The sequence below is a fragment of the Homo sapiens genome, chromosome 7 (assembly GCF_000001405.40).
Source record: "Homo sapiens chromosome 7, GRCh38.p14 Primary Assembly".
In the NCBI taxonomy this organism is placed as follows: Eukaryota; Metazoa; Chordata; class Mammalia; order Primates; family Hominidae; genus Homo; species Homo sapiens.
Window position 1 is genome coordinate 143,528,318 of NC_000007.14, and position 13,304 is coordinate 143,541,621.

At 41.8% G+C, this 13,304-nt stretch overlaps 1 pseudogene; it reads right to left on the bottom strand.

Annotated features, from left to right (window-relative positions):
* RPL26P22 (ribosomal protein L26 pseudogene 22) lies at positions 4,377-4,893 on the bottom strand (annotated as a pseudogene).

Sequence of the window (13,304 nt, forward strand, 5' to 3'; positions counted from 1 at the left end):
GACCAGCTTGGCCAACATGGTTAAACCCCGTTTTTACTAAAGATACAAAGATCAGCTGGGCATGGTGTTGTGTGCCTGTAGTCTCAGCTACTCAGGAGGCTGAGGCACGAGAATTGCTTGAATCTGGGAGGCAGACATTGCAGTGAGCCAAGATTGTACCACTGCACACCAGCGTGGGTGACAGAGCAAGACTCTGTCTCAAAACAAAAATAAAAAACAAACAAACAAAAACAGGAAAAAAGATAAAGCGAAAGAGACCTAGCTCCATTTACTTACCTTCTCTTGATGGAAGTTACTCCTTGGTTGTTTTTGCTCAGAGGCCTGGGGGTAGTGAAAGCAGGCTGGGTGACTGTGGGATTAAGTGAGGAGCTGGGTTGAGCTGACCACGGCAGTGAAATGAGTAGAACCTCATAGGGGTACAGAGCTGATGGGAAAAGCACTTGGGCCATCATCATCCTCCCGGTTTAATAAACATCGGTCACCTATACATTTTTAGAGCTTTTTATTATAGACATTTTCAAACATATACAAACATAGTATACTGAGCTGAGCCCTCATGTATTTATTATCCAATTCAATACCTATCAACATTTTTTCAGTTATGTTTAATCTGTGTTTGCTCCACTGCCCTTTGGTGTTTTTATTTTTGCTGCAATGTTTTAAGACAAATCCAAAGTATCCTATTATTTCACCCACAAATAATTTAGTACCCACACTTGTTTTATATTGAAGCACTGTATGTTTTTAAAAGAAGCAGTAGCTGAAAGCCCAGAGGGCTCTGGAAGTGGATAGAGTAGGGACTTTGGTACTAGTGCTTTTGGTTTCCTTTAAGTTTTGTGGCTTTGAGATGCCCAAGGACTAGACCTTATTCCTTAAATTAAAGCAGGGTTTTCATTTCTTAGGCAGTCAGCTTGCTCTTTAAAACTGAAATTTTTATTTTGGGTAAAAAGGACTTTGCCATTTGAATGTCTGTAATAGGTAGCCACAGAACCATTATTATAATCAATGTAAATTCTAACTCTGAGAGATAAATAAGTACTAGAGAAAAATAGACTAACCTACTAGGAGAGATATGAAAAGACATAAAACAGAATTAACAATGTAGTACTACATAGAGTGCCTCAAATTAGCAATACAAAAAATAGGTGTGCTCAATGACAGCAAGCCAACTATATAAATTGGAAATTGGGATATGTAATTCAGGAAAAGATTTGTTTTCTAATGTGCAACTTATTACAATCAGTGATGGATGCACCAAGCTTAATTGTGGTAATTACTTCACTTTATATGTACATAAAATTGTCACATTGTACAGCTTAAACTTATACATTTTTTTGTCAATTGTAACTCAATAAAAAATTTTTAAATAAAAATAAATCTCTCAAAATAAAAAGTTCATTTCATGCTATGTTTTAATCATCTTTATTAAGAAGGGCAAATTACATAAAACCAGGACCATGTAGAAAACCTGGGACATGTGGTCCACACTGCAGTGAGTTGAATTTGGGACACTTTATGCCTCGGGTGGTCAGAGAAGGGTGGTGTCAAACTTAAAGGTAGGACTTAGTTCAATTTACTTAGCAACCAATGTAAAGACAGGAATGATTTGTGTAAGGTAGTAGCAGAAGCTAAGTTTAGAAAGGGACAAGGAGGTGAAGAGGTGAATATCTTAAACCCTTTTGTGGAATGTTAATGCCAAGCGAATATTCCTAAGTTTTCACTGAAGAAAGTGTTCTGTGGTCCAACACATTTTGAAAACGTTGGCTTAAGAAAACTTCCAATGTCTTGATAATATATTCAGTTTCTTAGTGAATGTGCATGTACATGGAGAAGTGGTGATAGCAGGTAGCATTTCTTTCCTTTTCTTTTTTTTTAAATGAAGCTTCTATTAATATTCAGGGAGTCTAGTGTTTCTTAGCACATGGTTTAGGAAACAGCACGTTAAGAAATTGAGAGCTTATCCTAAAGGATGTGCAGAACCACAGAAAGCTTTTCAGTGAGAGATGAAGTGGCATGTTACCAAGATTAATTTGGTGTAGCTTTCAGATGAAATGAAAAGGGAGAAAATGAACACAAGGAGAAGACTATGGTAATAGTTCAAGGGTGAAGTGATGAGGACCTGAATTGGAGCAGTGGGTGCGTGACCGGAAAGAAGAAGAAACATATGGGAGGCAACACAAAGGAAGGATCTTCGGCTTCAATAGATAACTGAATGTGATGGGTGAGGGCGAGGCAGGAGTCAAATGTTATTCTGAGGTGTTGAGTCAAGGAAACACTTGAGACCATTGATGGAAATGGACCCATACACATAGACAGTGCTAGTGAGCTATAAAGGATGCTGAGCTTCATGTGGCTGTGGAGGTGATTATGTACAAGAGCTGCTAATGTAGGTACAAAAGTTGAGGTGAGAGTCAAGGCGGGGCATATCAGCTTGGGAATTTGTATAGCTGCGCTTTGGGTGGTGGAGGGCTGGTATGAAGAGTGTGCAAACCTTATGGGCAGATTGGAGTTACAAAAGAATACAGTGTGTGTAGTCAGAAGACTTGATTTCTAGTTTTATCTCTGTCAGTAATTCTTTGTAGTTGTGGTCAAATTATTTATCTTGCCTGAACCTCCTTCTATATTTAGGAACAATAAAAATGCCTGCCTCAAAGGATTGTTGTCAAGGTTGAATTTCGTAATGTCTGTGGAGTTGCTTTGTAAATTGTAAAGGGCTGTACCAGTTTTAGTTCTACTATGAGGGATAAATCAATAGAGGTGCAAACCTAAAATATAAATGTCAGATCCAGAGTTTAGTCCCAGAGTAAGGAGGCAGTGAGTAAAAAATCACTCTAGTTCATGCCAACAGACATGCCAGAATCCATGGAGCTGAACTACTATGGAGGAGGGAAGGAAGGGTCAAAGTGGCAAGTGGTTTGTAACAAGGACTTCTCAGAGCAATTATTAGGGATCTACTCATTGGGAATCTGAGGCATGAGGCCGTGGGCCACAGGTTGCTCAAAATGAGGTAAGAAATCCAAATCAGTAGGTCTGGGGCGGAAGACAAAGACATAAATTCCTGAGGCTTAGAATGCCAAGAGCAGAACAGAAACAAAAGCAAGCCTCCTGTCAAGGCTAAGCAGGTGAATACACAGCAAGAATTAGCCACAGAATTGGGAGCAGAGCATATTTCAGGAAGTCCTTAATTAATATAAAACACAATTATTTTATAATCAATGCTAGCACTTAGTGTGTGGGTCAGGAATTATTTAATACAAGCTGTTCTTACAGCAACTTACAATGACTAAATCACTTATTCCTCTAACAACCCCGTTATCGTTAGCATTTTTCAGATGAAGAAACTCAAACCCAGAAAAGCAAAGTAATTTGCCCAAGCTTACATAACTAGTAAGCAGCAGAGCCAGGACTTGCAGGCAGTGTCATTGGCCTTAGAGTCCAGCCCCTGTACTGCTATGCTGCAGTTGCCAGCGTTGAGAAGTGGCTAGAAAATGCAGGTCACCCATCCCATCATCCACACTCCCATGGTTTGGGGGTGGTTATTTGTTAACCTCTGTTCTCTCTATCTCTATACTCCTGATACCCTTTTATGCCACTGATCAGTGTATTCGTTATCACTGAGTATTACTCCTAACACAAAGGATGGCTTACTTTTCTTATTCTATTGGAATTAGACTTTTCCTCTATTATGGAGGCAGTATGATAGACAAATGTAGGGTGTACTTCAGGTTCAGAGAAGGTTGGATTTGAGTACTGGTTCTACTCCCTGGTGGCTGTGAACCCTTGGCTTTGTTACTTCAATCCTCTAAGCCCAAGTTCTGTCATCTGTTGCGATAAGCTAGTGTTGTACATGAGGAGTCTATGCACAGGCTTTGGAACTAGACACTTTGAGTCCTGGCTTGGCCATTTATTAGCTATGGGAGTTTGGGCAAATTTGAACTTTTCTGTTTTTCAGTATCCCCATCTATAAAATAGGATAATAGCAATTATACCTCCACCAGAGAGTTGTTGTGAAGATTTAATGGAATATTGGCATAATGCCTGAGACACGGTGAGTGCTCAACCAATCTTCTCTACAATTTATTTTTATAGGGTTATGAATTTATAACACAGCTTATATAGGGCTATAATTCTGTGCAGTGGTGAGTACAATGCAAGGCACAGAGCAGGTCTAAACACCATGTGTTATTATTATCTTCTTCTTCCTCTTCTTTTTTTTTTTTTGAGACACAGTCTCACTATGTCACCCAGGCTGTGCAGTGCAGTGGCATGATCACAGCTCACTGTAGCCTCAATGTCCCAGGCTCAAGCAGTCCTCCTGCCTCAGTCTCCCCAGTAGCTGGGCCCACAGGCATGTCACCGTGCCTGGCTATTTTTTTTTTTTTTCAAGTTTTGATGAAAGCTTGTATACAAGATTCCTTTATTCCTTTATCCAATTGTTTCTTCCTTGTATTTGCCCCTTTCCCTTCCTACTTGCTAAGATTTGGCTTTCCGTTCAAGAATCTTTTTGCAGTCTTTGTCCAGTTTTAGCCTAGTGCTAACCACCTTGCTGGGGTGAATGCCTATGTGGACAGTTGTGCCATTAGCCTTTTCCTGCTGCACCTGTGCAATGTAGGTGACATATTTCTTCCTGTAAACCTGGACTACTTTGCCAATTTGCTGACCTTTGTAGTGCCTGTGTACAACCTGAACTTCATCATCCTTTCGGATGGTCATGGATTGAACATTGTACTTCTGTCTCAGCTCTTTGCAAAGAGAGGAAGACCTAATATTTCTGAGAATGTGGGAAAGTGCATTGAAATGCCTTTTGTGGTACTTGCTTCGATCAGAAGTCACAAAGGGATTGAACTCCACTTTGGCCACTGCCGCTTTGGTGATGGCCACAAAAGGGAAGAGCTATTTTTTTATTTTTTATTTTTATGTAGAGACAAGGGTCTCCCTATGTTGCCCAGGCTGGTCTTGAACTCCTGGGCTCAAGTGATCCTCCCGCCTTGACCTCCCAGAGTGTTGAGACTACAGGCGTGAGCCACCGTGCCCGGCCTATTATCTTCTTATTTATCTTGACACACAGAACGACAGCAGTCTGCAGTCTGCATTCTTCCCCCTGATGGCCGATCCTCTGCATCCATCCTCAGGATCAATCTTCAGGGTTATGTCTCTTAAATTAAAAGACTGCTATGTATGCTTGAATCTAAAATTCAATCTTGTTACTGATTCCAAGATACTTAGAGAAAGTTTCCTAATAGAGCTATTGGCTGCAGGGCAGCATCTGCTCATTCCTTTCTGTTTTCTCATCTGAGGAATCTCTCTGCCCTTTGCACTCCATGAGGATTTCCACAGCTGGCCTCATTCCACAGGAAGAGCTTGAGGAGGCACAGTTCTGTTGGACACCTCTCCTTGCTGCTAGCTGGGTGATTCTTTGTAAGCCCCTCTCCTGAATATTACTACATACCCTACTTCATCCTCAAGCTCTGGGCAAGAAAATACACTTCTTTTTTAGTTGACTGTTAAATTTTTATCAAAATTAAAAAATAATTAGGTAAGATTGAAAAGAAGTCATCAGCCCTATCCTGCCATTCCCCACTTCTGACTTCTCAATTTAACTGTTTGAGCTGCATCTCTGCATTTTATTTAAAAACCAGTCAATCTAGCTAATTTTTTTCAGTTTTATACGTGTATTATTTCTTGTCATTTTACTGTGGAAGAGGAGCATTTGGTTTTTTTAGACCTCTTCTCTTCAACGCAAATACATACAAGACAAACACACATGTATTTCCTTTCTCCATATAATAATTATATCATAATTTTGGCATACAGCAATATTCACTATGTACATGATTATAACTATGTTAACATTAATCATAGCTGAGTCATAGATTATTCTGTTATCACCAATTATTATGTTTCCTTTCTTCTTTTTCTTTTTTTTTCTGGAAACAGCGTCTCACTCTGTTGCCCAGGCTGGAGTGCAGTGGTGTGATCTTGGCTCACTGGGTTCAAACGATTCTCCTGCCTCAGCCTCCCGAGTAGCTGGAATTACAGGTGCATGCCACCATGCCCAGCTGATTTTTGTACTTTTAGTAGAGACAGGGTTTCACCATGTTGGTCAGGCTGGTCTTGAACTCCTGACCTCCTGATCCGCCCGCCTCGGCCTCCCAAAATGCTGGGATTACAGGTGTGAGCCACAGCGCCCAGCCACTCCTCTATGTTTTTTTAAGTGTGTACTTTCTGTAATTTTTCTTCTCTTTTTGTGTTACTCATGGGAGGTATTCTCTATCTCTCAACATTTTCATTAAAATTTTCATTTCTACTCTCAAATTTCTTAAAGAACATTTTATTCTCTGATGTTCCTTTTTCTTGTATGATGTGATGTTCTATTTATTCTTATTTTATAGGTGCAATATCTTTTCTAATTTCTCTGAGGTAATGCATTATGTGTATTTTGCAATATCTTTCTTTCCCCTGAGATTGCTTTTTGTGTGTTTATTTTTCTAACATTAGAGGTTTTTAAAATGACTGGTGCTTCTTAGCTCTTTGTTCACTTTCATAAATGAATCAAGAAACATTATCTAGAAGCACAGCATTCCCAGATGAAGCTTTGATGGGTGGGCTTCAGCATTTGGGTGGGGCCTCAGCTACTTCACTGTGCCATCTCTAAATACCACGACCCGTAAGTCTCTTCTACTGATGTGTCAGTATACTCAGAAAGAGACCTCCTAGTCTTTAGCCTGTCAGGTGTAAGCTGGCTGCCAGCATCCTGGGAAACTCAGAGAGGACGGGGCCTGGAGTGGGGATACAGAAGGAGTCTTAGTCAATGCCCCTGTTTTCATAGGACTCTTGGTCTTGGATACATGTGTCATCCCTGAGTATAGAGTGCTCTAGGTCAACTTTTCCTGGTTCCCGCTAAAGATAGAGTAACGGTAGCTCATTGACTTCAGGGATCTAACGGCTTCTGTGCAGACATTTTAACCAGCCTTTATTCAGCCTTCTAATCTCGACTGTTTTTGAGTTCCTGAGGCTTCCTAATAATCTGTAGTATAAATTTGGGCATTAGGGCTACTGCACTTACAGTTTAGGTTTCTGTTTTCCTTGGTCTGCTAAGTTGGTTACCCATCCATCTGTTTTGCAAAACAGCATTTTGTTGCTGTCATCTCCAGTCTCTTTTTGATTATTGAGGGTTATGTCTTTTGCAGTTTCTTAGTTATCATTTTAGTGAGGCTTGGGAAGAAGCAGGTGTAAACTCATATGATAAAGCTCACGGGTAAATGGAAGTTCTTTGGGAGGTACTTCAGCACCATTCTCTGAGGGGCATGTGTAGGTTTACCAAGCAAAGAAGACAGTTCTTTTCTTCTTTACATACATTTTCCTTCCTGACAGCAGCCAGACTTTTTTTTCCAGGATTTAACTCTTTTTTTTTTTTTTTTTTTAGCTGGATGAAACTGTAACCAGGGGTCCTGCTCTCTCCTATTCAGGTCCTTTTCTCTCTTATGCCAAAGAATCAGTTTGATTCTTTCTTCTTGAGATTTGAATCCTCAGAAGAAGTAAAAACAGGTCTGAAAATATTTGGAATTTATCCATCTCCCATCCACAGCATTCTAACCAGATTCCTTCCTCTATTAGGCCATTCCTGGTTTTCTTGCCTTCTAGGTTCCAGAAACTGTCTTGGTTCCTATTGATTTCTAGTTTGGTTCTTCAGGCTTCCAGTCAATTCCATTAACTTCTGATAATGTTTCAATGAATGTCTCTTTTGTTTAAGTTAGCCGTAATTGTGTACAACCAAAGAACTACAATTGATGCAGAAACTCAGTAGTTTATTTGATTTTGAAACAATTTCTTATGTTTTGTAGTTTCAAGGCTGAGAAACAACAACAGAAAAAAAACAAATTTAGGTGTTTTCTTTTTCTGCCAAAGTAATGGATTCCTTCATGATATGATTTCATATTTTCATGAAATAACTTTTGTGAAAGAATTAGAGGACTAGGACCCCAATATTAGTAAACTATTGCTGCAAAAAGCTATTGTGACAAAAACAATATATCAGTGGCAAGTGATAAGCATTTATTTCTTGCTCATGTATCTGTGGGTGACTGAAGTGGCTCTTCTTCAAGCTGCAGATTTGCATTGGCTGGAGCTGTTCTGTTCAATGCATTTAATTATGGGGCCAAGCCAGATGGGCAGAAGCTATTCAGGTTATATCCTTATTAAAATAATGGCAAAAAAGTGATGTAGGGAAAGCCCAACTGCATATGTTAATTTCAAGCCTTTGCTCATGTCTCATCAAATATCGCATTGGCCAAAGCAAGTCACCTAGCCAAACTCACAGTGAGAAGACAGGGAACTCCACCTACCATGAGGCCATGTGATGTATGATGACAGATACCATTTCAGGGAAGTGAAGAATTTGGACAAATACTTCAATCTACCAGTCTTCCCTATTAATCATGATTATCCACATGCTTATATTCCCTCCAACTTCATCTAATCCTAATATCAGGCCAGAAAGTCCAGGATCTTGTGATATAAAGCAAATCTAGATGTGCTTTTCTTTGAGTCAGAGACCTATGAATAATAAAGACAATTTTACTGTTTACACTTAACATACAATTGTGGCGTGAGAGCACAATAACAGAAATAAACACTTTCATTAGAAAGAGAAAGAGTGGTAGGCATATAGCAGTTACTGCTCAATAGTTGTTCCCAAAGCCTGCTGTACAAATATTTCTGGGTCCTTCTATCCTGGGGCAAGGAATGTTTCATGATTAAGTTTTAGTTATTTTCTTTAGGAGTGGCATCTTAATCTATTATTCTTCAAGCTCTTGGTTCTGCACACTGGAAGTCCCTTACTTTTCCATCCTTACCCAGCTTCTTAATTCTGGAAGACTGAAGACTCAGAGGTAATTTTTTTTTTTTTTTTTTTTTTTTTTTGCGTGTGTGTGTGTGTGTGTGTGTGTGTGTGTGTGTGTGAGCAATAAAGCTTTTTATTTCACCTGGGTGCAGGTGGGCTGAGTCCAAAAAGAGAGTCAGTGAAGGGAGATAGGGGTGGGGCCGTTTTATAGGATTTGGGAAGTTAATGAAAATTACAGTCAAAGGGGGTTGTTCTCTGTTGGGCAGGGGCGGGTGTCACAAGGTGCTCAGTGGGGGAGCTTCTGAGCCAGAAGAAGGAAATTCACAGGGTTAATCACTCAGTTAAGGTGGGGCAGGAACAAATCACAATGGTGGAATGTCATCAGTTAAGGATGGGGCAGGGCCTTTTCACTTCTTTTGTGATTCTTCAGTTACTTCAGGCCATCTGGGCGTATACGTCCAAGTCACAGGGGATGCAATGGCTTGGCTTGGGCTCAGAGGCCTGACATTCCTGCCTTCTTATATTAATAAGAAAAATAAAAGAAAATAGTGTTGAAGTGCTGGGGCGGCGAAAATTTTTGGGGGTGGTATGGAGAGAGAATGGGCGATGTTTCTCAGGGCTGCTTCGAGCAGGATTAGGGGCAGCGTGGGAACCTAGAGTGGGAGAGATTAAGCTGGAGGAAGATCTTGTGGTAAGGGGTGATATTGTGGGGTTGTTAGAAGGAACATTTGTCATATAGAATGATTGGTGATGGCCTGGATATGGTTTTGCATGAATTGAAAAACTAAATGGAATAAGAGAAGGAGAAAAACAGGTATAAAAGGTCTAAGAATTGGGAGGACCTAGGACATCTGATTAGAGAGTGCCTAAGGAGATTCAGCATAGTCCTGTCAGCAAAGATTATTTATTTACTTCAAGAGTTTAGAGTGGCAGTTTGGGGATAGCACCAGGAGGTATCAGCTGTGATGGCTTGGAGAAACAGTAAACCGGCAGTGTAAACAAGAGCAGGGCATGCATGAGTACTTGAGAATAGTGAATAGGAGTATGACTAGAAAAAAGATAGTAGGGATGACAAGTTTTTTTGGGGCACAGTCTAAGTTGGTCTGGTGTCGAATGAGACTGGGGCCTAATAAAAATGAGTGTCTATACAGGAGCTTAAATGGGCTGTACTTTGTAACATTCTGAGGACAGGCCTGAATTCTGAGAAGAGAAAGTGGTAAAAGTATTGTTCAGTCCTTTTTAAGTTGGTGGCTGAGCTTGGTGAGGTGTGTTTTTAAAAGACCTTTAGTCCATTCTACTTTTCCTGAAGACGGAGGACCATAAAGGATATAAAGGTTTCACTGAATACTAAGAGCCTGAAAAACTGCTTGGCTGATTTGACTAATAAAGGCTGGTCTGTTATCAGACTGTATAGAGGTGGGAAGGCTAAACTGAGGAATTATGTCTGACAGAAGGGAAGAAATGACTGCGATGGCCTTCTCAGACCCTGTAGGAAAGGCCTCTATTTATTCAGTGAAAGAGTCTATTTAGACTAAGAGGTATTTTAGTTTCCTGACTCGGGCATGTTGAGTAAAGCTAATTTGCCAGTCCTGGGTGGGGGCAAATCCTCCAGCTTGATGTGTAGGGAAGGGAGGGGGCCTGAATAATCCCTGAGGAGTAGTAGAATAGCAGATGGAACACTGAGAAGTTATTTCCTTGAGGATAGATTTCCACGATGGAAAGGAAATGAGAGGTTCTGAGAGGCCGGCTAGTGGCTTGTACTATAGCATAGCCTACCTTTGCTGGTGTGTGGCGATTAGGCCTGGTGGAACTGCCATCAATAAATCAAGCATGATCAGGGTGAGGAACAGGAAAGAAGGAAATATGGGGAAATAGGGTGAATATCAGGTGGATCAGAGAGATACAGTCATGGGGGTCAGGTGTGGTATCAGGAATAATGTGAGAGGCCAGATTGAAGTCCGGGCCAGGAACAATGGTAATTGTGGGACTTAAAGAGTGAGTACAGCTGAAGGAGCCGGGGAGCAGAAAGTATATGTGTCAAGTATGAGGAAGAAAATGGATTTTGGAAGTTATGAGAAATGTAGAGAGTGAGTTGAGCATAGTTTGTGATTTTTAGGGCCTCTAACATATTAAAGCAGCGGCAGCCGCCGCACGCAGACATGAAGGCTAGGCTAAAACAGTAAGGTCGAGTTGTTTGGACAGAAAGGCTACAGGGTGCGGTCCTGGCTCTTGTGTAAGAATTCTGACCGCACTAACCATGCCTAGGAAGGAAAGGAGTTGTTGTTTTGTAGAAGGTGCTGGGGTTTGAGAGATCAGTCGGACACGATTGGCAGGGAGAGCACGTGTGTTTTTATGAGATTTATGCCGAGATAGGTAACAGATGAGGAAGAAATTTGGGCTTGATTGAAGTAATGGGGGCTGTCCGTGAAGCTTTGTGGCAGTACAGCCTAGGTAATTTGCTGAGCTTGATGGGTGTGAGGGTCAGTCCAAGTGAAAGCGAAGAGAGGCTGGGATTAAGGGTGCAAAGGAATAGTAAAGAAAGCATGTTTGAGATCTAGAACAGAATAATGGGTTGTAGAGGCAAGTATTGAGGATAGGAGAGTATATGGGTTCGGCACCACGGGGTGGATAGGCAAAACAATTTGGTTGATAAGGTGCAGATCCTGAACTAACTTGTAAGGCTTATCTGGTTTTAGGACAGGTAAAATGGGGGAATTGTAAGGAGAGTTTATAGGCTTTAAAAGGCCATGCTGCAGCAAGCGAGTGATAACAGGCTTTAATCTTTTTAAAGCGTGTTGCGGGATGGGATCTTGGCGTTGAGTGGGGTAAGGGTGATTAGGTTTTAATGAGATGGTAAGGGGTGCATGATCGGTTGCCAAGGAGGGAGTAGAGGTATCTTATACTTGTGGGTTAAGGTGGGGGGATACAAGAGGAGGACGAAAAGGAGGCTTTGGATTGGGAAGAAGGGCGGCAACGAGATATAGCTGTAGTCTAGGAATAGTCAGGGAAGCAGACAATTTAGTTAAAGTGTCTCAGCCTAATAAGGGAACTGGGCAGGTGGGGATAACTAAAAAGGAGTGCTTAAAAGAGTATTGTCTAAGTTGGCACCAGAGTTGGGGAGTTTTAAGAGGTTTAGAAGCCTGGCCGTCAATACCCACAACAGTTATGGAGGCAAGGGAAACAGGCCCTTGAAAAGAAGGTAATGTGGAGTGGGTAGCCTCAGTATTGATTAAGAAGGGGACGGGCTTACCTTCCACTGTGAGAGTTACCCGAAGCTCGGCGTCCGTGATGGTCTAGGGGGCTTCCGAGGCGATTGGGCAGTGTCAGTCTTCAGCCGCTAAGCCGAGAAGATCTGGGAAGGAGTCAGAGAGCCTTGGGCCAGAGTTCCAGGGGCTCTGGGAGTGGCTGCCAGGTGAGTTGAACAGTCCGATTTTCAGTGGGGTCCCACACAGACGGGACGTGGCTTAGGAGGAATCCCGGGCTGTGGGCATTCCTTGGCCCAGTGGCCAGATTTCCGGCACTTGTAGCAAGCTCCTGGGGGAGGAGGTTCTGGAGGAACGCCTGGCCGCTGCAGTTCAGGCATTTGGAAGTTCTTGTGTGCTGGAGATGTGGCTGGGGTTTGTCTCACAGTGGAGGCAAGGAATTGCAACTTTTTTCTGTTATTGTACACCTTGAAGGTGAGGTTAATTAAGTCCTGTTGTGGGGTTTGAGGGCCAGAATTTAATTTTTGGAGTTTTATTTGATGTCGGGAGCAGATTGGGTAATAAAATGTATTTTGAGAATAAGACGGCCTTTTGACCTTTTAGGGTCTAGGGCTGTAAAGCGTCTCAGGGTTGCTGCCAAACGAGCCATGAACTGGGCTGGATTTTTATATTCGATGAAAAAGAGCCTAAACGCTTCTGATTTGGGATAAAGAAAAAGGAGCATTAACCTTGACTATGCCTTTGGCTCCAGCCACCTTTTTACGAGTAAATTGCTGGGCAGGTGGGGGAGGGCTAGTCACGGAATGAAACTGTAAGCCGGACCAGGTGTGAGGAGGGGAGGTGATAAAAAGATTATAGGGTGGAGGAGCAGAGGCTGAGGAAGAATTGGGACCTAGCTCGGCCTGGAGAGGAGCAGCCTGGGGAGGAAGGGAGAGGTCAGATGGGTCTGTAGAAAAGGAAGATTAGAAAGACTCAGCGACGCTTGGGGTTGGTACTGAGGGGACAGGTGGGAGGGAAAGAAGGAAGATTTGGGACAAGTTGCACTGGGCACAGAGACTAGGAAGGGACTGATGTGTAAAAGAATGCCTGGACGTCAGGCACCTCAGACCATTTGCCTATTTTATGACAAGAATTATTTAGATCTTGCAGGATGGAAAAATTCAAAGTGCCATTTTCTGGCTATTTGGACAAATACTGTCGAGTTTGTATTGGGGTCAAGCGGCATTGCAGAAGAAAATAAGGCATTTAGGTTTTAGGTC